We start from the raw sequence: 24,133 nt of genomic DNA, 5'->3' as shown, positions 1-24,133 counted from the left end.
TCAACATCCCTTCATAATAAAAGCCCTAAAACACTGGGGACAGAAGGAACATACCTCAAAATAATAAAAGCCATATACAACAGACTTGCAGTATCATATTTAATGGGAAAAAACTGAAGCGTTTCTTCTAAAATCTGAACAAAACAAGGCTGCAGATTTTCACCACTGTTATTCAACATAGTACTGCAAGTCCTAGCTAGAGCAATCAGACAAGAGAAGGAAATAAAGGGTATCCAAATTGTAAAGGAAGAAATCAAATTATCCTTGCAGATGAGATAATCTTATATTTGCAAAAGTCCAAAGACTCTGCCAAAAAACTATTAAAAATGATAAACAAATTCAGTAAAGTTGCAGGATAAAAAATCAACAGACAAAAATCAGTAACATTTCTACATGCCAACACTGAACAATCTAAAAAATAAAAAAGTAATCCCATTTATAATAGCCACAAATAAAATTAAATACCTAGGAATTAACCAAAGAAGTAAAAGGTCTTCTTTTACTTAAAACAATAACAACTGTAAAAACACTGATAAAAGAAATTGAAGAGGACACCAAAAAATGGAAAAATATTCCATGTTCATGGATTGGAAGAATCAACATTGTTAAAATGTCCATAATACCCTAAGCAATCTACACATTCAATGCAAACCCTATCAAAATACCAATGATATTCTTCACAGAAATAGAAAAAACAATCCTAAAATTTATATGCAACCAAAAAAGTCCAAGAATAGCCAAAGCTATTTTGAGCAAAAAGAACAAAACTGGCCAGGCGTGGTGGCTCACGCCTGTAATCCCAGCACTTTGGGAGGCTGAGGTGGGTGGATCACCTGAGGCTGGGAGTTCAAGACCACCCTGACCAACATGGAGAAACCCCGTCTCTACTAAAAATACAAAATTAGCTGGGTGTGGTGGCCTGTAATCCCAGCTGCTGGGAGGCTGAGGCAGGAGAATCGCTTGAACCCAGGAGGTGGAGGTTGCGGTGAGCCGGAGATCATGCCACTGCATTCCAGCCTGAGCAACAAGAGCGAAACTCCACCTCAAAAAAAAAAAAAAACAAAAGAAACAAAAAACAAAACTGGATAAATCACATTATCTGACTTCAAATTATACTACAGAGCTACAGTAACCAAAACAGCATGGTACTGGGATAAAAATAGACACATAAACCAATGGAACAGAACAGAGAACCCAGAAACAAATCCATATATCTACTGATAATCTGTCATTTTTGACAAAGGTGCCAAGAATACACATTTGAGAAAAAACAGTCTCTTCAATAAATGATACTGGGAAATTTGGATTATCATGTGCAGAAGAATAAAACTAGACCCCTATCTCTCACCACGTACAAAAATCAAATCAAAATACATTAAAGACTTAACTGTAAGATCTCAAACTATGAAACTACCAGAAGAAAACACTGGGGAAACTCTCCAGGACACTGGACTGGGCAAAGATTTCTTGATTAATACCTCACAAGCACAGGCAACCATAGCATAAATGAACAAATGAGATCACATCAAGTTAAAAATGTTTTGCACAGCAAGACAAACAAACAAACAAAAAAAAACAAAAACAAAACCAATAAACAGAATGGGAGAAAATATGTGCAAACTACCTGTCTGACAAGGGATTAATATAATAACTAGAATATATAAGGAGCTCAAGCTTATATATCCACAGGGATAAAGCTAATAATCCAATTTAAAAATAGGTAAAATATTTGAATAGACATTTCTCAAAAGAAGACATACAAATGGCAAACAGCCATATTCAAAGGTGCTCAACATCACTGATCAGAGAAATGCAAATCAAAATTACAATGAAATATCATCTCAACCTAGTTAAAATGACTTTTATCAAACAGACAGGCAATATCAAATGCTGAAGAGGACATGGGGAAAAGGGAACTGTTGTACACTGTTGGTGGTAATGGAAATTAGTACAACCACTATGGTGAACAGTTTGGAGGTTCCTAAAAAAACTAAAAATAGAGCTACCATATGATCCAGCAATCCCACTGCTAGGTATATACCCAAAAGAAAGGCAATCAGAACATCAAAGAAATATCTGCACTCCCATGTTTATTGCTGCACTATTCACAGTAGCCAAGATTTGGAAGCAACCTGTGTCCATCAACAGATGAGTGGGTAAAGAAAATGTGGTTCAAGGGAGGTGGAGGCTGCAGTGAGCCAAGATCGTGCCACTGTACTCCAGCCTGGAAGACACAGTGAGACTCTGACTCAAAAAAAAAAAAAAAAAAGAAGAAGAATATGTGGTTCATATAGACAATGGAGTATTATTCATCCACAAAAAGGAATGAGAGCCTGTCATTTGCAACAATATGGATGGAAATGGAAATCATGATGTTAAGTAAATAGCCAGGCACAGAAAAATATCACATGTTCTCACTTATTTGTAGAGCTAAAAAGTAAAACAATTGAAATCACAGAGATAGAGAGTAGAAACATGGTTACCTAAGGCTGGGAAGGACAGTAGTGGGGCAGGGAGAAAGTGGGGATGGTTAATAGATTTTAAAAAATAGAAAGAATGGGCCAGGCACCGTGGCTCATGCCTGTAATCCTAGCACTTTGGGAGGCTGAGGCGGGCGGATCACCTGAGGTCGGGAGTTCACAACCAGCCTGACCAACATGGAAAAATCCCATCTCTACTAAAAATACAAAATCAGCCAGACATGGTGGTGCATGCCTATAATCCCAGCTACTCGGGAGGCTGAGGCAGGAGAATTGCTTGAACCTGGGAGGCAGAGATCGCAGTAAGCCATGATCGCGTCATTATACCCCAGCCTGGGCAATAAGAGCAAAACTCCGTCTCAAAAAAAAAAACCCAGAATGAATAAGACCTAGTATTTGATAGTACAACAGGGTGACTATAGTCAATAATAATGTAATTGTACATTTAAAAATAACCCTGTAGCCATAAAAAAGAACAAGATCATGTCCTTTGCGGGAACAAAAGCGGGAACCATTGATGGAGCCAGAGGCTATTATCTTCCACAAACTAATGCAGGAACAGAAAACCAAATACCACATGTTCTCACTCACAAGTGAGAGCTAAATGATGAGAACTTCTGAACACAAAGAAGGAACAACGGACACTGGGGTCTACTTTAAGGGTGGAGGGTGGGAGGAGGGAGAGGAGCAGAAAAGGTAACGATTGGATACTGGGCTTAATTCCTGGGTGATAAAATAATCTGTACAACAAACCCCCATGACATGAGTTTACCTATGTAATAAACCTTCAGATGTACCCTGGAACCTAACATAAAATTTGGAAAACAAAAAGAAAAACGAGAAAATAAAAATAACTAAAAGATTATAATTGGATTGTTTATTACACAAAGAATAAATGCTCAAGGGGATGGACACCTCATTTACGATGATGTGATTATTATGCACTTGCATGCCTGTATCAAAGTATCTCATTTATCCCATAAATATATTTATCTACTACGTACCCACACAGAATAAAAATGAAATTTAAAAAAAAAAGCCAAGATAGGCCAAAACTTGGCCTCTTCAGCCAGTTAGGCAAGTGGAGAATGTAATGGTAAAGTTCTTGAAGGAAATTAAAAGTGCTAATCAATGAACACATAAATGATAAGAAAGCAAAACAGCCTTATTGCTGAGAAAGTGTGAGTGGTCTAGATAAAAGACCAAACCAGCCATAACATTTGCATAAGCCAAAGTCCACTCCATAGCAAGGCCCTAACTCTCTTCAATTCTATGAAGGGTGAGAAGTGAAGAAGTTACAGAAGAAAAGCTGGAATCTAGCAGAGATTAGTTAATGAAGTTTAAGGAAAAAAGCTGTTTATACACATAGAAGTAAAAGATGAAGCAGCAAGTGCTGATGGGGAAGCTGCAGCAAGTTATCCAGAAGATACACTAAGATCACTCATGAAGGTGGCTACTCTAAACAACAGATTTTCAATGTAGACAAAACAGCCTTCTACTGGAAAAAGATGCCATCTAGTATTTTCTAAGCAAGACAGAAGTCAATGCCTGCTTCAAAGGACAGGCTGACTCTCTTCTTAGGGGCCAATGTAACTAGTGACTTTAAGTTGAAGCCAATGCTCATGGACCATTCTGAAAATCCTAGGGCCCTTAAGAATCATTCTAAATCTACTCTACCTGTGCTCAATAAAGCCTGGATGACAGGACATGTTTACAGCACGGTTAAATGAATATTTTAAGACTATTGATGAGTCCCACTGCTCACAAAAAAAAAAAAAAAAAAGATTCCTTTCAAAGCAACACTGCTTATTAACGATGCACCTAGTTACCAAAGAGCTCTGATGGAGATGTACAAAAAGATGAATGTTGTTTTCATGCCTGCCATCACAACATTCATTCTGCAACCTGTGGATCAAGAAGTAATTTTGACTTTCAAGTCTTTTTTTTTTTTTGAGACAAGGTCTGGCTCTGTTGCCCAGGCTGGAGTGCAGTGGCGTGATCATGGCTCACTACAACCTCTGCCTCTCAGACTCAAGCAATCCTCCCACCTCAGCCTCCCAAGTAGCTGGGAATACAGTAGTGTGCCACCACACCTGGCTAATTTTATATATATATATAAACATATATATATATTTTTTTTGTAGAGACAAGGTTTTGCTGTGTTGCCCAGGCTGGTCTTGAACTGCAGTCACTGAACTGGGAAACCTAAATGCAAAGGGAATAATTGAATCCTGGGGTGGCAGGGACCAAGTGGCAGCACTCAATCATTAAAGCAAGGCGAGCAGAATTACCATAATGAACAGCAGAGTCAAAGCCGCAATCAGAATAGTATGACTTGCACACACCTATTGTGTTGGCTAGTTGATATGGTGTTCTTAGAAGTGAAAAAAAGAAGCCTACTACATTCTTACTTGATCTATATAAGCAGAAAAGTGCTAGGTCAAGAGAACAAAAGTCTACCCTGAATCATGAAGACTAATGGCCCCTCAATCACTCCCCAGACTTGAGCCAGTTTACAGACCCAGAATCCTTTGAATGAGGAAGATGATGGGTCCCCTTGAGAGGACTCCAGTACACCACCAAAAATTTATACTATTAATCTTTCTCCCAGCCTTCCCCAAAGGGGCTTACAGCCTTTTACCAGGGTAACTATTCATTAGGTAAAAGAAAACAATCAGATCGTTCAGGGACTACTGGATATCGGCTCTGATCTGACACTAATTGCAAGAGACCCAAAATGTTACCATAGTCCCGAGTCAAAGTAGAGGTATGTAGAGGTCAGGCGATTAGTGGAGTTTTAGCTCAAGTCTTTCTTACTGTGGGCCCAGTGGGTCCCCAAGCCCGTTCTGCGGTTAGCATAAGGTCACCATGAAAATGAAGTTTTTTCTCAATATGGTGAAAGATATCAACCCTTGTCTTTGATGCATGGAGCCACCATACTAGCACTGAACTACTTAATTTGGGCTACTTACATACTTAAATTCTTGCATATTTAGGCTACTATTTGGGGAGTCTCTTATGTGTAGCTGAATGTAATTGCTTAATCATATACCAATAAATCAATGATGGTGCTCTAAAGGTCAAGAGCCATCACAAACTCCAACCACATTTAAAATCCATGGAGTTTAGTCCTCACATCCAGATCCATTGAATCTTATAATTCCTAGTATTGCCTACACATACTAACTACCTTAAATCTTGCAAATCGATTCTGTCCAAAGCTGCTTTCTACCTATGTCATAGCACCAACTATTAACTCCAAAATCCTAGCCTTAAGTCTCTCTTATTTCCTTTTACAAGCTATTCTGCTTGCCTCTCTGGATTTCTGCAAAAGAATAATGGATTTAACTGTTCCTAAATTTCAGAAAAAGTACTTCCTAGAATTACAAAGAATTGTGAAGATAAAAGCAATGATGGATTCCATATAGTTCCATATAAAATAATTACAATATCCCTTTTCATTATGTTAATACTTAAAAAAAACTTTATTTACTGTAAAGAAGATAAGACCACAGGAAAAAATAGAAGCTAAATATAGTTTTCAGGTAAAGAGTGATATTGTACTCTGGGTAATATTATTTTTTTCTTTTGCTTCTACATCCCAGAGCAATACACACCTTTCTGGAATTATTAATCTTTTGAACCTGTATTCCCTTCTTTTGCTTTTCTAGTCCTTTTAACAACCTTGCAATGAATTCCTCTATTAAAGTTCCTCTGTTTGAAATTACTACATTGATTTGTTTTTCTGACTGGACTCTGAGCCCTTAAGATACAGAAAATTGATTGATAGCTGTATTTCATTTACCTTTAGAAATTTTCATTTTATCATTGGAGAAACAGCTTAATTGAAATCACATTTCCACTTTTTTTTTTTGAGACAGAGTCTCGCTTTGTCACCAGACTGGAGTGCAGTGCACAATCTCCGCTCACTGCAACCTCCACCTTCCGTGTTCAAGCGATTCTCCTGCCTCAGCCTCCTGAGCAGGTGCTATGACATAGGTAGAAAGCAGCTTTGGACAGAATCGATTTGCAAGATTTAAGGTAGTTAGTATGTGTAGGCAATACTAGGAATTGTAAGATTCAATGGATCTGGATGTGAGGACTAAACTCCATGGATTTTAAATGTGGTTGGAGTTTGTGATGGCTCTTGACCTTTAGAGCACCATCATTGATTTATTGGTATATGATTAAGCAATTACATTCAGCTACACATAAGAGACTCCCCAAATAGCAGCTGGGACTACAGGTGCACACCACCATGGCCAGCTAATTTTCATATTTTAGTAGGGATGGGGTTTCATCATGCTGGCCAGGATGGTCTCAATCTTTTGACCTCATGGTCTGCCCCTGCCTCTGCCTCCCAAAGTGCTGGGATTACAGGACTGAGCCACCACGCCTGGCCTACATTTCCAGTTTAACTACAAATCCCGCCTTTAAGATTTCTAACCACCTACTGGCTTCCACCAAATAGGCCTGATCCTTCTCTTCACATAAGATGAAATGCTGCTGGTGTGAAGCTTAATCCCTTTTGCATTTGCAATCTCTGTCATCTTATTTTATTTTTTCTGAGACAGGGTTTCACTCTGTCACCCAGGCTGGAGTGCAGTGGCACAATCAGAGCTCACTGTAACCTCAAACTCCTGGGCTCAAGAAATCCTCCCAAGTAGGCTAGGACTACAGGTATGTGCCACCACACCCTGGCTTATTTTTGGTAGAGACAGGGTCTCACTATTTTGCACAGGCTGGTCTTGAACTCCTGGCCTCAAGCGATCCTCCTGCTTCAGCCTCCCAAAGTCCTGGGATTATAGATGTGAGCCACCATGCCTAGCTCCTCTGTTTCTTTTCTACAAGTCATGGCAAATGATTTGCTGGGCACAGTTTAGGAGATCTAGTCTTCTATTTAACAAGGTGAAATTTGCAGATCTAAATAGACCTCTTCTCTGCACAACCTCACATCCCACATCTAGACCTCCCACATGGTCTAGACCCCACTGCTCACCTCCTGCTGTGCAGCCCAGTTCCTAACCAGAATCAATCTGGGGCCTGGGGTTTGGGGAACCCTGCTGTAGAATAATTTCTATCTTCTTCCAGATGCCACCTCATAGTCGAAGTAGTGGCATTACCAGTAGATAAGACACAAAAGCAGAACAGGCCTCTTGAATCTGCCTGCATCCATAAACAGAAGAAACCTAAGATTACTCAGACCTCTGTTCTAGCTTCTTGGGCTATAACTAGATAGATGTTAGCTGGCCCAAGTCTGCTAGAAGAGTATTCTGAGGGAGATAAAGTACAAAGTTCCACTTTAGTACTCAGGTTGTACCCAGGTATTCCCATGTACAGTTTTCTTCCCCTCAGCTGGTTTTATACTCAATAAAATTGAAGGTTTCATTCTCTTCTGTTCTCCATTATCTATTTTTCAATTGGTTGAAGTAGAAGAAGAAATAAGTGATTAAACACCCTCATACTCCAATACCATGAAGACACTTTGTTGGTTTGTTTTAGTTACATAAATGTAAGTCATACAAATAACGTCCCCCCACCAAAAAGGCCCCTTCAAATTTAAAAAGGTGAACAAAATTGTTAATTAACCACAGCATCTCAGTGTTGGGTGGAACACTAGAGACCAAATTCAGTCTCTATACTACAAAGGAGCAAACACACAGAAACAGAATAAAAGCTATAACATATATTATAATTAATATAACTATAGATAGTTCAAAAGAGTGAAAATAAAAGTACTTTTTTCAGCTGTTTATATATTTTTGTACACTGAGTTCTTTTCATAATGTTATTGTACCTACCATGTTATTTCAAGACAATTCCATTGAACATTATTTCAAGGAATTGTTTGTGTGTAACAAGAAAGGTACAAGAGAAGTAGATACAACGGAAGGCTGAAGAAATCACCAAAGACTTGATAGAAAAGATAAAGCCTAATCCTTAAGGATTGAGTAAGTAAGAAGTAGAAATAAGATAAAAGCCTTCCAAGAGAGGGGAATAACATGAGCAAAGGCATGGAGGTAGAACCTAAAGAGGCAGATATGATATGAAATAGAGTATGGTGTAAAGAAAGATTTGTCCCCAACACCGTCTAGAATAGAACTTTTTGAGTGATATTTTCATAAACGCTTTCTGGGAAGAAATTAACATTCCCGGTAAAAAGCATAATCCATTTCGGATAAATTCTATCAAGCTTAAGCAAGCTCTTCTGGGAACTTATCTACGTACTCAGCTGACAGCTGCAAAGTCTAAAGATCTTTAACAAGTTATTCTTTTCTTGTTTATCTAACCACTCTTGTTTTCCTATAAATGTCTCCACCAAGAAAGGAATCTTTGAATTGGCCTGGTTCATTTTCATCCCTGGCAGCAAGTCTGAAATAAAATTTCACATGTTCTCATAACTAAGTTTCTAAAACGCTTTTTTTAAACAATGAAAAGACAATTATAAACATATTCATCAAATCCTAAAAGAGGAGCATTGGGACCACAATTCTTTAGTATGAGGGAATGTAACCAGAATAAAAGAATAATGTACTTAATAAGTCCAGCTTTTTTTCTCTTGCAATGTCCAAAAAATATTCTATGCTCTTCTATTTGGCTCCAGACTATTTTATTATGCTCATCAGGAAAATGGGTAGAAAAAGGTCCAGATCAGGAAAATGGCAAGAAAGGCTAGGAAGTTTTACATTTAAAAAAAAAAAGAGAGAGAGAGAAAGAATTCTTTAGCCAGGTGCGGTGGTGTGCGCGTGTAGTCCTGGCTACTCAGGAGGCTGAAGTGGCAGGATTGTCTGAGGCCAGGAGTTCGAGGCTGCAGTAAGCTATGATTGTGCCACTGCACTCCAGCCTGGATGTCAGAGCAAGACTCTGCCTCTACAAATTAAATTAAATTAAAAAGAAAGAGAGGGACAGAGAGACAATCCTAGTAAAAAAAAAGAATTGATCCAGAGAACCCAAGGAGGAGAAAAAGAGCTAAGAACCAAGTGGTCTTGCTTTAGGATGTGTTTTGTTTAATAATAAATCAGACAATGTTCTGATGTACAGCAGGAAAAGAACAATTTAAGATGTTTTGCTGAGCATTAAGAATGTACTCTTAGGCTGGGCATGGTGGCTAACACCTGTAATCCCAGCACTTTGGGAGGCTGAGATGGGTGGACCACTTGAGGTCAAGAATTCAAGACCAGCCTGGCCAACATGGCGAAACCCTGTCTCTACTAAAAATGCACACAAAAAATTAGCCAGGTATGTTGGTGCATGTCTGTAATCCCAGCTACTCAGGAGGCTGTGCCAAGAGAATGGTTTGAACCCAGGAAGTGGAAGCTGTAGTGAGCTGAGATCGCACCATTACACTCCAGCCTGGGTGACTGAGCAAAACTCTGTCTCAAAAATAAAAAATTAAAAATAAATAAAACAAAACAAACAAACATAAATAAATAAGAAATGTATTCTTAATAATAATAGTAGGCTCCCAGCCAGGTCAGCTCACTCCTCTCTTGGGAGTGTACTCTTACTTCCTTAATAAAACTTTTGTTACCTAAGTAGTTACATAGTACAAAAGGCAAAGACAAGCACATCTTAAATACATACTAAATGTCAAGAAAGGAAGAATAACTGCCCTATCATGTTAAGATGGAGGAGCAGAGAGTTGAAATAGAAACAGACATAAAGAGCCAATACTTTATTATGTTTCGTATATTAACTCACAGAGACCTCTAGAAAATATGCGTAAGTCTTAGACAACAACAATATACTCTCTACTAGGGCCAGCAGTGCATGCCTACAATCCTGGAAGGGGAGACTGAGGCAGGAGGATCACTTGAGTTTGAGAACAGCCTGGGCAACATAGCAAGACCCTGTCTCTAAACAAACCAAAAACCCAAGAAAAATATATTCTCCCCAAATAGTTTTAGGATAGACAACAGGGATTAAATTTTGTAAAAATTAAATCCTTTCTCAATATCTTTCTCGCTATCTTTTAAAATAGTGAACAAAATTAAATTTAACTTTAAAATATAAACAATGTCACTGATTATCACTAAAATACTTACGATGGTCGATCCTCAAGAATCAAGGCAGTGGTAGAAAGCGGCTCAAATTCAAAATTCTTGCGTCTTGAAGACTGAGGTGGTGGTTTACAGGTCCTCCCCGTTCGTGCTTCATATTCCTAGAGTAAATTAAAACATACCTTATGCAGAAACTGCTCCAACATAGTTTGTACTATTAAATCTGTATCATTAAAAATATTATGCTATAATGAGGGATACATACAATTCAAAAAATAATTTGGTAAAAATATCAAGCAGACAAAAAATAAAAGTTTTTTTTTTGGAGGTGGAGGGGAGCTGGGAGCAGTGGCTCATGCCTATAATTCCAGCACTTGGGAGGCCGAGGTGGCAGGATTACTTGAGCTCACGAATTCAAGACCAGCCTGGGCAAGGGTCAACACCTCACCTCTACTAAAAACAAAACATAAAAAAAGTTGTTTTTTTTTTTGTTTTCCTGAAGCAACCTAAACTATAAATATATATTACATACAAAGTATCAAAATGTAAGAGAAGGAAAGACAGAAGTACACTAGATTAATTAAAGTTTTAGGAAGACATTCTTAATTGCCTTCTATGATATCAGCTATCCAGGCCATCTTTGAATAATCTACAACTAGATAAGCCTACTTCCTAAACTTTCAGTTAGATCAGTGATTAAAATGTTGAGACAAGATATAGATAATGCCACTGTATTGCTCTGAAGATCCCTCTCAAGGGTGACATTCAACCTCTAATGAAATGATAGTTTTGGATTTCAATCTAGTATTACAAATAGATCTACTTACTCTAAATTTAAACAACAGTTTGCTAACACATCTTATTCAAAAATATAGCCACAGACTGTCAAACATTTCACTAAAATTAAGAAACTTACTATAGTATTCTTCTAATTCATCCAACCTGATAATTCTAATTAAAATAAATTAATTTAATATATGGTAAACACATTTAAATTTATCCATTCAAGTATTCTTTCATAAATGTTCCCAAACTTCTGAAATTTATTTATAGAAATTTGCCAAAGATCAATACCAAATTTACCAGCTTGCAAGCTTCAGTACCCACATTTTTTCCTTTCTAAAAAATCAAGCTAGCATCTGATCATCTCCAGGCACTAGTTATATTTTTCATTACATTCTCAAATATTACTCAATGATTTCACGAACTATGCAAGTCCACTGGTGGCTATAGAAGACACTGATTTATATGAAGAAAATAAAATGCACTTAAAGTGGTCAGATATTTCACTTTTTAGTTGCTTAACTACAATTGCCTGTAATTCTTTTAATACTATTGTTACATCTTTTCCAACTCAAAGCCTATTTCTCCTTACTCAATTGGGCAATCATAAAATGAGACCTGATAGTTCCATACCTCTTAAAAATTTGATAATCTTTTTTTTTTCTTTTTCTTCTTTTTTTTTTTTGAGATGGAGTTATGCTCTTGTTGCCCAGGCTGGAGTGCAGTGGCATGGTCTCGGCTCACTGCAACCTCCGCCTCCCGGGTTCAAGCGATTCTCCCACCTCAGCCTCCCGAGTAGCTGGGATTACAGGCATCAGCCACCACGGCTGGCTATTTTTTTTTTTTTGTATTTTTAGTAGAGACAGGGTTTCTCCATGTTGGTCAGGCTGGTTTCAAACTCCTGAACTTGTGACCCGCCCACCTGAAACTCCCAAAGTGCTAGGATTACAGGCGTGAGCCACCGTGCCCGGCCTTGATTATCTTCTTGAAGCTTAACCTTAATTGAGATATTACTTTTAAAAAACAACTTATTTGGTCTTACAAACTTCAGCTTACCTTGTGGTTCCAGCCACTGTTTATAAAGTTTCATATTCATCTTTAGTTCTGCATCTTCCCTTCCATCTACTATATCTATGCTCTGCTTATCTGAGAGCTCCCTTGCATCACCACATTGGGTTTTTAGAAACTTCTCCTCTATCAAATTATTTAGGATTGTGTGCACTTATGTTTATTAACTGTCATCTCAAAGAACCATACAGCCGTTCATAATCAAAAACAATAATGTCACTCATTTCTTTTTGTCTTTTCCAATTTTCTTTCCTAATATCTAGAATATATAATCATGCTCAATGTTTCTTTTCTTCATTACAAACTCCAATGTAATAAATCCCTTTTCTGCTCATGTTTTTCTTACTAAAAATTATAGAAAAATAATAAATTTGTTATAATTTAAATGGTGTTTTATTTTCCTACAAGGTAACCTGGTTTCACTGCCAAACAGAATACCATGAATATTATCCAATAAAACATTTTCCATGCAAACAAAGGCCAAGCACATAGACAGCAAAATCAAACTTTCAAACCAATATATTAATAACAACTAACATTGACTGACACTGTGTAACCATGCACTGTTAGAGCCCTCCCAGTGGAGAAAAACTGAGGCACAAAGATGTATACTCATTTGCTGAAGGTCATTACCAGCAGGCAGTTTGGCTCCATAGCCTGCCTTTTAACAATCTATTATCTTGCTATATTAACAGGCAGTAAAGTAGCTATGTATGACATAAAAAAATTTTTTTTTGTAGAGATGGGATCTCCTTAGGGTTGCCAAGGCTGTTCTTGAACTCCTGGGCTCAAGCAATCCTCTCGCCCTGTCTCCCAAAGTGTCAGGATTATGGGTATGGGCCACTGTGCCTGGCTGATGAAAATTTAAAAGAATGAGATTCATAAAATCATTCAGTGAAAGGCTCATCGGGGTAGATCAGACTGACAATGCCTGAATCCCCAATCCACTTAAATATCACAAAAGGAGACCCCCAGACAGAATATTTCTTGTATGATGCAATATGAAGTATACACTACCATTCTTGAAATATTCTTGCCAAAAGAAAAATCAAAGTTAAATATAATTAAGCCTATAGAATTGTGTTCTCCAATATTGTGGCCAAAGTTAGTAATAACCAAATAAGCTAATACATATTTAAATATGCATAAAATTATCAAGGAAGTATTAAGAGGTTCTCCTCCGGAGAGTGAGACTAGAAATGAAGGGCTTTTGGTTCACCTTATGAAACCAGTGTTGATTGGCTTTGTAAACAACAAAAAATAAAGTATATCTTATGAGAGATCACTCATGGCCATGGTGGATGATGGACAAAGATCTTACTAAGAGGTGGGATCGGAACTGGAGCAAAAATGATGGGTACTGATAGGCAGAAAGAATTAAAAGAACAAGTCAGCAGGAGCAAACAAAGGCATGGATCAGGGAAACACATTAATCTCACTGAATAGGAAAAATGATGAGAAATAAGATTAGAAAGGTGTGGGTTAAATTACAGGGCCTTTCACTGGCTAAAATATTTGGACTTAATCATGAACAAAATGGGAAACCACTGAAAGTTTGGATAAAGCCAAGTTTGATGAAAGCTGTCCTTTATAAAACGTGAACTAAGTATACATTTAATATATAAAGCAACTCAAAATGAAGCAGCTAGAATATAATTTATGTATCTACGAGAGGAATGAGCTTTTTTTTTTTTTTTTTGGAGATACAGAGTCTCACTCTATTGCCCAGGCTGGAGTGCAGTGGCACAATCTCAGCTCTCTGCAACCTCCACCTCCAGGGTTCAAGCCATTCTCCTGCCTTGGCCTCCTGAGTAGCTGAGATTACAGGCATGTGCCACCATGCCCGGCTAATTTTTGTATTTTTCATAGAGACAGGGTTTCACCATGCTGGCCAGGCTGGCCTCGAACCCCTGACCTCAGATGATCCACCCACCTCAGCCTCCCAAAGTGCTGGGACTGCAGGCATGAGCCACTGCACCCAACCTAGGAATAAGTTTTGTACAGAATCGTCACTCAAACATCATTCACATAAGAAGTTGTATTCTAGCACTTTCCACATACATCCTTGTCATAAAAGTGCTGTAAATTTCTAGAGTAATAATAATAAAAAAGCTTTAAAACATTGTATGAGCTCATCTTTATCAGAAAATAGCACAGATTTCCATATCAAAATAACTTAAATATTTGCTGAATAAATTAAACATGCCATCCTAATGCAATCAGAATTACAAATTATATAGCAGCACTCCTGGATTAAAAAAAAAAGTAAAAAAAAAAAAAAAAAAAAGAATTACAAATTGTATTAGAAATAATACGGCTGGGCACAGAGGTTCACGCCTATAATCCCAGCACTTTGGGAAGCCGAGGCTGGCAGATCACTTGTGCCTAGGAGTTCAAGACCAGCCTGGGCAACATGGTGAAATCCTGTCTCTACAAAAAATACAAAATTAGCCAAGTATGGTGGCATGCGCCTCTAGTCCTCAGCTACTTGGGAGGCTGAGGTGGGAGATCACTTGAGCCAGGTTGTGGAGGCTGCAGTGGGTCATAATCATTCCACTGCACTCCAGCCTGGGTGACAGAGTGAGACCTTCTCTCAAAAATAATAATAATAATCAAATATTAACACTAGTACTTTCAAAATTCATCATAAGATTATATGCTATTTATTAAGATGTTTTTGATTATATATAACAGAAAACCCAACTCAAACAGGTTTAGGCAAATTTATGAGCTCTTAAAACTGAATATTCCATACAATCAGTTAACTTTGGATTCTGTTTGACCAAGAGGTTCACAGCATAAACATCAATCAGCAACTCCATTTCTCTACTGTTCTCTCAGTTCTCCCCTCCTCCACGTGATTTGAAGACGTAATGAGAAATTTAAGTAAGTACTGATTTTCATCTACATTCCTAAAAGTTAGGTATATACAAATTGGCAAAAAAACCAAAAATTCTTCAGAGACATAGAGTAGACTCCCACTTGGTGAACTGGGTAACTCACACCAACTTTCTTGCTGCAAACAATCTCTGCAGTCCCTGACAAAGGGGGAACAAACAAGATGAGCCTGAGGATCACTCAACTGTTATGCCTGGAGGCAATACTGAACATCAGGGCAGGAAGGGGGACCCCAAAGGAAGCTTGGCTGTTAGTTTGGACAGGCCAAAGGGCTAGAATTTTGGGGATACAGTAGTAGAAAAGAAAGTGCCCCATCAGGAAAGAACTCCAGGTCCTGCACAGTGGCTCACACCTGTAATCCCATCACTTTGGGAAGCTGAGGTGGGTGGATTACTTAAGGTCAGGAGTTCGAGACCAGCCTGGCCAGCATGCTGAAACTCTGTCTCTATGAAAAATACAAAAATTAGCTGGGCATGGTGGCATGTGCTTGTAGTCCCAGGTACTTGGGAGGTTGAGGCAGGAGAATCACTTGAACCCAGGAGGCAGAGGGTTGCAGTGAGCCGAGATCACCCCACTGCACTCCAGCGTGAGTGACAGAATGAGACTCCATCTCAAAAAAAAAAAAAAAAAAAGGAAAAAACTCCAGAAACTAGCATAGCAGTATTCTTGAGTCTTCAGCTGAATACTGATCTACACGTGTACAATAAAACCCTACAAAGCTGGGCAAAGAAGAACTTTTGGGAAAAGAACAATAACCTGAGGAGCTACAAGCAAAACACTTCCCAGAGCTTACCCAGGGGTGAGAATTATTCACATTATCACCACCAGAATAAAAAGTCATCACTGGGAATACACAAAACATTCAGGAAAAACCCAAAAGGTCTCTTTGTTGGATGTAAGACATTGTGAATTTTAGACGGCTGAGGGCTGAATAATACTTGATTTTGTTCTGTCCAGAAGTTAAGCTTCTTGTGCATCAGTTTGACTCCTTTATGGCTTATTTATAAACTTTTTTAGTTCACATCTAACGTAATTTTTTCTTTGGAGCTAATTTATCCCATAACTAAGAAATTATCAATGAACTTACTTTCTTCTGCAATGTTTAATCTGTGATTAATGTCACCCAGTAAAATATTCACGTCAGATCTTGCATATTAACAACTGTAGCACTGTTATCAATCAACTTGAGAACAGAGCAACAGAAACTATCCAAAATTAAGCAAAGAAAGGGAAAAAAATTGAAGAAATATAAGCAGAGCTTTAGGGAACACTATGAAGCAGCCTAAATTATGTGTAATTGGAGTGTTGGTACGAGGGAGAACAATATTTAAGACAATAATGGCTGAAATGTTGTCAAACTACACCCACAGACCCAAGAAGTTCAATAAATTCTAAGCAGAATACAGATAAAACCACACCAAAAGACATCATAATTATTTGCTAAAATATAATGGTAAGAAGAATATTTTAAAAGCAGCCAGAAAAAAAGCACTTATATTGAAAAGACTGAATGTGAAAACAATTACAAGACTTTTCCCCTAAAATTATTCCAGTCAAAAGACAATAGAAAAATCTTTAAACTGCTGAAGGAAAAAAAAATGGAGAGGGAACATCTATTAACTTAGAATCCTATACCAGAGGAAATATCTTTCATAAGTGAAAGCAAAATAAAATTATTTTCAGACAAGCAATAGCTAAGAGAATTTGTTGTCAGTAGACCAGCAATATAATTTCAAGGACATTATTCAGGCAGAAAGTATGTATCACATGAAAACATGAATATACACAAAGAGATAAAAAGCACCAAAAATAATAAATATAGACAAAAAGACAGTTTTCTCATTTCTTAAAGTTAGAGAATATTTGGTCATTTAATACAGAAATATACTGGTAAATGTAAATAAGCAGTTTACAGCACAAAAGTTAGAAAGGAGGTAACAGCAGTACACTGTTGTAAGGTTCTTCCATTATACTCAAGTGCTATAAAGTTATTTGAAGGTAGACCATGATAAATTAAATATCATAAAAGCCCTAGTGTTGCAGTTTCTCGATGTGTAATTAGAAGACCTAAGTGTTCAGGACATGCTTTCATGGGGTCTGCAAAGTCAGAGCTATATTCCTAAGAGTGTTAATAGTTTGTCACTGCATTGACATTTGTACTAATGGTGCTCAGCAATGCTGAATAAAACTGTAGGTAGCCTGGACAATATAGTGAGACATTGTCTCTACAAAAAATAAAAACATTAGCCAAGTATGGTTGTACGCGCATGAGAGTGGGGAGCTATGAGCTCACTGCTGCACCCCAACCTGGGCAATAGAGACCCTGTCTCAAAAACAAAAACTGTCAGTGCCCTATCACAAATCAAAGCAATAGCACTGTGATGACTGTATTATTCAGGACATGCATTGAAGGTTTAAAAAAAAGAGGGGGAGTGGCCAGATTCATTTAAGTATGTCTATGACAAAACAGTAAAAATTATTAATTGTATTAAATATTTATATATGAGTAAACATCTTAACATTCTGCGTGACAAAAGGAAAAGTACAGGGCCGGGCACAGTGGCTCATGCCTGTAATCCCAGCACTTTGGGAGGCCAAGGCGGGCGGCTCACCTGAGGTCGGAAGTTCGAGACCAGCCTGACCAAATGGAGAAACTCCATCTCTACTAAAAATACAAAAATTAGCCGGGCGTGGTGGTGCATGCCTGTAATCCCAGCTACTCGGGAGGCTGAGGCAGGAGAATCGCTTGAACCCAGGAGGCAAAGGTTGCAGTGAGCTGAGATAGCGCCACCGCACTCCAGCCTGGGCAACAACAGCGAAACTCTGTCTTAAAAAACAAAAACAAAAACAAAAAAAAACTCGACTACACACTTGTGCAAAGGAAAAGCACTTGTGCAATTATTTGAGTTCTAAACTGAACAAATGTCTTTTTCAAGAACACTATTTTTATTTAAAAGAAAAACTGACTGCAAACTGCAGTGGCAGTCATTTTCTAAAAATTAGACAAAGCGGGCCCTTTATCTCCATGATATTTCTCCCAGAAAACCATAAACCCACTCAAGTCATAAGGAAATCATGAGAGAAACCTAAATTGAAGACCATTCTAGAAAATAATAGACCAGTACTCTTCAAAAGTGTCAAGTTCATTAAAAAAAGGAAAGATGACAAACTGTCAAAGGCCATAGAGACTAAGGAATTGTGATAGCAAAATATAATGTGATATTCCGGATTAGACACTGAAAGAGAAATAGGACTTTAATAGAAAAATTGGTGAAATCCAAGTGAAGTCTGGAGTTTAATTAATAGTAATCTACCAAAGTCAATTTTCTGAGTTTTGACAAATGTACAGGGTAATAGATGCTAACATTAGAAGAAACTGAATGAGAGGTATTTATGAATTCTCTGTATTGTTTTTTCAGTATCACAATAATAAAGTTATTCCAAAATCTAAAGTTATTCTGTAAATCTAAAGTTATTCCAAAATAAAAAGCTTATTAAAACAAACAAAAAAGGATGAAGTGTGCCAGTGATTTTAAGGAAAGCAATTGAAAGTAAGTGTTGCTAATAATAAAATCCAGCCTTTCAGTAAGAATTAAAATGCTGTGAACTTGTAAATGCCACTATATATATGTGTGTATGTATATACATATATACATATATATATGTTGTCAATAGACAGCAATATAATTTCAAGGAAATTATTCAGGCAGAAAGTATGTATCACATGAAAACATGAATATACACAAAGAAAATACACCAAAAATAATAAATATGGACAAATAAAAAAGACAGTTTTCTCATTTCTTAAAGTTTTAGAGAATATTTGGTCATTTAATACAGAAATATACTGGCAAATGTAAATAAGGAGTTTACAGCACAAAAGTTAGAAAGGAGGTAAACAGCAGTACACTGTCGTAAGGTTCTTACATGTAAGGTTCTTACAAAACTAAGACCCAACTATATGCTATTTATAAGAAACCCACTTTAAATATAAAGACAGATACAAGAATAAAAGGATGAAAACAGAAATGTCTGCAAAATATTAACTGCAAACAAGCTCTAGTGGCTAATAAAGTCAGATAAAAACTTCATATATATGTGTATATATACACATACATGTATATACATACATACGCGTATATACATATATACGCATATATACGTATATATGTATATATGCGTATGTATGTATATACATACATGTATGTGTATATATGTATGTATGCATGTACGTATATATGTATGCGTATACGTATATGTGTATGTATGCGTATATGTATGTATGCGTATATGTATGTATGTATGCGTATACGTATGTATGTATACATATGTATGTATGTATACGTATGTATGTATGTATGTATACGTATACGTATATATGTACACACACACACACACACACACACACATATATATATATATATTTTTTTTTTTAGGCAAGAGTCTTGCTCTGTCGCCCAGGCTGGAGTGCAGTGGCATGATCTTGGCTCACTGTAACCTCCACCTCCCAGGTTCAAGCGATTCTCCTGCCTCAGCCTCCCGAGTAGCTGAGACTACAGGCACGTGCCACCATGCTCAGCTAATTTTTGTATTTTTAGTAGAGATGGCTTTTCACCATGTTAGCCAGGATGAGCTCAGTCTCTTGACCTCGTGATCCACCTGCCTCATCCTCCCAAAGTGCTAGGATTACAGGCGTGGGCCACTGCGCCCGGGCCTATGCCACCATATATTTAACAGCTTCCCAGAGTTAGATTTTTGTGAGATCAGTGGTGATAATACTGTCGTTTTTTGATATTTTATAATGCAATGCTGTAACATTTGGAAGATCTACGTATCTGGTGCACCAGTACTTTCCAAATGACCAATGCATGATATTATAAAACCATGCATAAATACACATATCCATGCAAAGTGCAAGAAAGACCAATGCATTTTTCTATAACAGAATTATATGGTTTCAGATTCCACACTATAACTTACCTTTAAGAAACAACCACTTGATGAATTTTGGAGTGGCATCAGAGAAGAATGCCCACAATTATCTGAAAAGACTATTAAAACGTTCTTCTCTTTACTACATACATAACTGTGAGATTTTCTTCATGTACTTAAATTTACTAAAACAATATAAAGCAAAAAACTAAGTGCAAGAGTAGATATGAGAATCCAGCCTTCATTTATGCCATACATTAAAGAGATCTGCAAAAATGTAAAACAATGCCACTCTCCCCACTACTTGTTTTTTAATAGTCATTTTTCACAAATATGTTGTTTTTGTTAACATATAATAGCTTTATTCTTGTGATATTTAAATGATTAATACTTGAACACTTCAGTTTTAACTGGGGGTATAGTAATAACTGATAATCCCATAAACAAAAACCCTTTGAGGTCTTTATTAATTAAGAATCCAAAGGGACCCCGTCTCTATAAAAAAAATTTTAAAATTAGCCACACATGGTGGTATGTGCCTGTAGTCCTAGCTACTCTGGAAGCTGAGGTGGGAGGATGGCTTGAGCCCAGGAGGCAGAGGTTGCAGTGAGCCAAGACTGCACCACTGCACTCCAGCCTGGGCAATAGAGCCAGACTTTGTCTCAAAAAAAGAAAAAAGAATCCAAAGGTATCATGAGACTAAGATGTTTGAAAACTGTTGGTCAACAGCAACCACCAAAAAAGTAAAACAAAGGTAAAGCTAATAAGCTAATAGTGGTGATAAAGTGCAGTGACAAAAATACTCATTCAACCCAAAAGAGGGCAGGAGAAAAAAAAAGTGAAAGACCAGAAGAAATAATTTGAAAAGAAATAGCAAGATGGTAAATTTAAATCTGATCATATCAATAATGACAGTAAATGACATGCCATTTAAAAAATAGAGGGTATCAGATTGTATACAAAAGCAAGACCCAACTATATGCTATTTATAAGAAACCCACTTTAAATATAAAGGTAGATACAAGAATAAAAGGATGAAAACAGAAATGTCTGCAAAATATTAACTGGAAACAAGCTCTAGTGGCTAATAAAGTCAGATAAAAACTTCATAAAAGGAAATCTTACCAAAGCAAAAAGGACATATCATTGATGACACAGGGACCAATTCACCAAGACAACTTCAAAACAAAGCTTCAAAAAACAGGAAACAATAATTGACAGAAATGAAAGGAGAAATAACCAAGTACATTATGGTGGAGATTTTATCACTCTTCTCTCAGTTAGTGGTAGAAAAAGCAGAAAATTTAAAAAATATAAAAAATTTAACACTACCATCTAACATGACCTAAACTGATATTTACAGAATATTTCATTCAACATCTGCAAAATACACACTGCTCTAAAGTACACAAGGAACGTTCAGTAATGCCCCTATATTTGGGGCATAAACAAGTCTCAATAAATTGAAAAAAACTAAAATTGCATAACATATATTGTCTGACTGTTATGGTTTGAATATTTGTCTATTTGTCCCTTCCAAAACTGGTGTTGAAATTTAATCCCCAGTGTGATAGTACTGGGCAGGGGTGGGGGAGCCTTTAAGAGGTAATTTGGTCAGGAGGGCTCTGCCCTCATGAATGGATTAATCTGTTCATGGATTAACATATTATCATGAGAGTGGGACTGGTAGCTTTATAAGAAAAGGAAAAGAGACCTGAGCTCATATGTTCAGCTCCCTTGCCACATGACGCCCTGCATTGCCCTGGGACTCTGCAGAGTTCCAACCAGTAAGAGGACTCTTACCAGATGAAGCCCCTCGACCTTGGACTTTTCATCCTCTGTAACTGTAAGAAATAAATTCCCTTTCTTTATAAATCACTCAGTTTCCAATATTCTGTTATAAGCAACGGAAAATGGACTGAGACACTGACCATCCATATTAATCATTTATGAAAACATATCCGTAAAATCCCAAGATATTTTAAAAGTAAAATAACATACCTCTACATAATCATAAGTAAAGGCAGTAACAAAAGAAAAGGAAAAGTATCTTTCATTGATTGAAAATGAAAACACTGAAATTTATGGAATGCAGCTAAAGCACAGTTAGAGGAAAATTTGTAGCTTAAAATACATTAAAAAGATAAAAGGTCTAAAATGAATGATCCACCTTAGAAAACTAGAAAAAAAGCAAAATACATCCAAAGCAAGTGGATAGTAAATAATAAAGAACAGAAATCAATGAACAGAACACACAAAAAACAAGAAGTGAAAATCAGTGAAACAAAAGGTGTTTCTTTTAAAACATAATAAAATTGATAAACTCCTAGTAAAACTGATGAATGAAAAAGAGAAGATAAAAATTGCCAAAATCAGGAATGCAAGAGAGATCATCACTATCCACATTTCTATCACATACCTAGCAGACATTAAAAAGATAAGAAAATATGAATAATTTAATTGCAATAAATCCAACAATATAGATGACATATAAAACTCTGTTGAAAGACATGTTACCAAAACTGACTCAAGAAGAAACAGAAAACTTGAAAAGCCCAGGCTGATGTCAAGAAAAACATTAAATTTATAACTAAAAATATGCTCAACAACAAAAAACTTCCACACTTCACTTAGATCAGTAATTCTCAACTGGGGTTGACTTTGCCCCCTTAAGGACATCTGACAATGTCTAAGACATTTCAGTTGTCACAATGAGAAGTGAAAGGGGATTACTACTGGAATTCCTAGAGGCCAGGGGTACTACTAAATATCCTGTATTTCACAGGAAAGCCCCTCACAATATTTACATTTAGGTCATGTAAATATGTACTATGTAATATTTACATGACCTAAAATGTCAAAAGTGCTGAGGTTGAGAAACCTTGGCTTAAATTATTTCACTGGTAAATTCTGTCAAACATTCAAGGAAGAAATAACACCAATTCTACACAAATAATTTCAGAAAATAGAAACAATCCTCAACTTACTAAATGATGATTGTATTATCCCAATACCAGAATCTGACAAAAGCATTAAAAGAAAATTATAGACTGACATCCCTCATGAATATAGAAGCAAAAATCCCTAACATAGTATTAGCAAACTGACTTCTGGATTTCCACTCCAGCCTGTACACAGCTTAGAAATTGCCATTCCAGGACAGGTGTGGTGGCTCACGCCTATAATCCCAACATTTTGTGGGGGTCAAGGTGGGAGGATCTTTTGAGGCCAGGAGTTCAAGAAGTTGCCACTGCATCCTAACAAGTAAAAACCTAAGCAAACTGAAAAATTAATAATTATTCTTAGATTCACCAAAGACATGAAGCCACAGAGCAAACCACTGCCCCAAAACTGCAGAAACAAACACATAAAGAAGAATCACAACTTAGCAGAGCAGAAACCCAGAAGCTGAAACCTCTGGCAGTGCTGCAGTAGGAAAACATAAACTGTAATTGACAAACTGATAGAGGCTGAGTGTGGACAAGTCTGAGTGTTAGAACTCCAGGGGGTAGGCAGCTATTTAAAAAAGGAAAAAAAATTAAAAATTAAACAAAACTCCAGGAGGACCCAGTTGCATACACTTTCGTGAGTTTTATTTCCAGGAACTCTACCAGGTCCTCAGACTGAGTACTGTGGGGAAGAAATCCCCTTGTGCTTTCAGCAGGAGAGGAAAAGTAATTATTTTGAAATAGTCCTTTACATTCTGTTCTTAACAAGGTCTGCCCTCAGGAGAAACTTTTTTACCAGAGCCTAACCTGCTCTAACCTAACTAGGGGAAGGGAAATACACAACTCCAGCTCCCTCTGTCCATTCTGTCCTGTCAAAGGGGGAAAAAAAACAAAACTGAGAAGCACTATGAAGCGTACCATTCAGAGGTACAGGTTCACCAAAAGATTAAGACCCAATCATAGGACTATAGAATGCTTCCCCTTTTCCCACACCTTACCACTACCTTACTAAAGTCCTATTTAC

At 37.1% G+C, this 24,133-nt stretch overlaps 1 protein-coding gene across 9 annotated transcripts in view; it reads right to left on the bottom strand.

Annotated features, from left to right (window-relative positions):
* Window positions 1–24,133, bottom strand: part of TBC1D12 (TBC1 domain family member 12) — a 133,792-nt gene that overhangs the window by 51,024 nt on the left and 58,635 nt on the right. For all 9 annotated transcript variants that reach the window (XR_945637.3, NM_015188.2, XM_006717732.5 and 6 more), the window contains one exon: window positions 10,526–10,641. Coding sequence is in view for 5 of the 9 variants with exons in the window: in NM_015188.2 (NP_056003.1) it covers window positions 10,526–10,641 (116 nt within the window). In the remaining 4 variants the exon portion in view is untranslated. The remainder of the gene's footprint in view (window positions 1–10,525; window positions 10,642–24,133) is intronic.

This window comes from Homo sapiens, chromosome 10, assembly GCF_000001405.40.
Source record: "Homo sapiens chromosome 10, GRCh38.p14 Primary Assembly".
Classification (NCBI taxonomy): Eukaryota; Metazoa; Chordata; class Mammalia; order Primates; family Hominidae; genus Homo; species Homo sapiens.
Note: the sequence above shows the minus strand (reverse complement) of the source record. Positions and strands in the feature narration are given on the sequence as shown.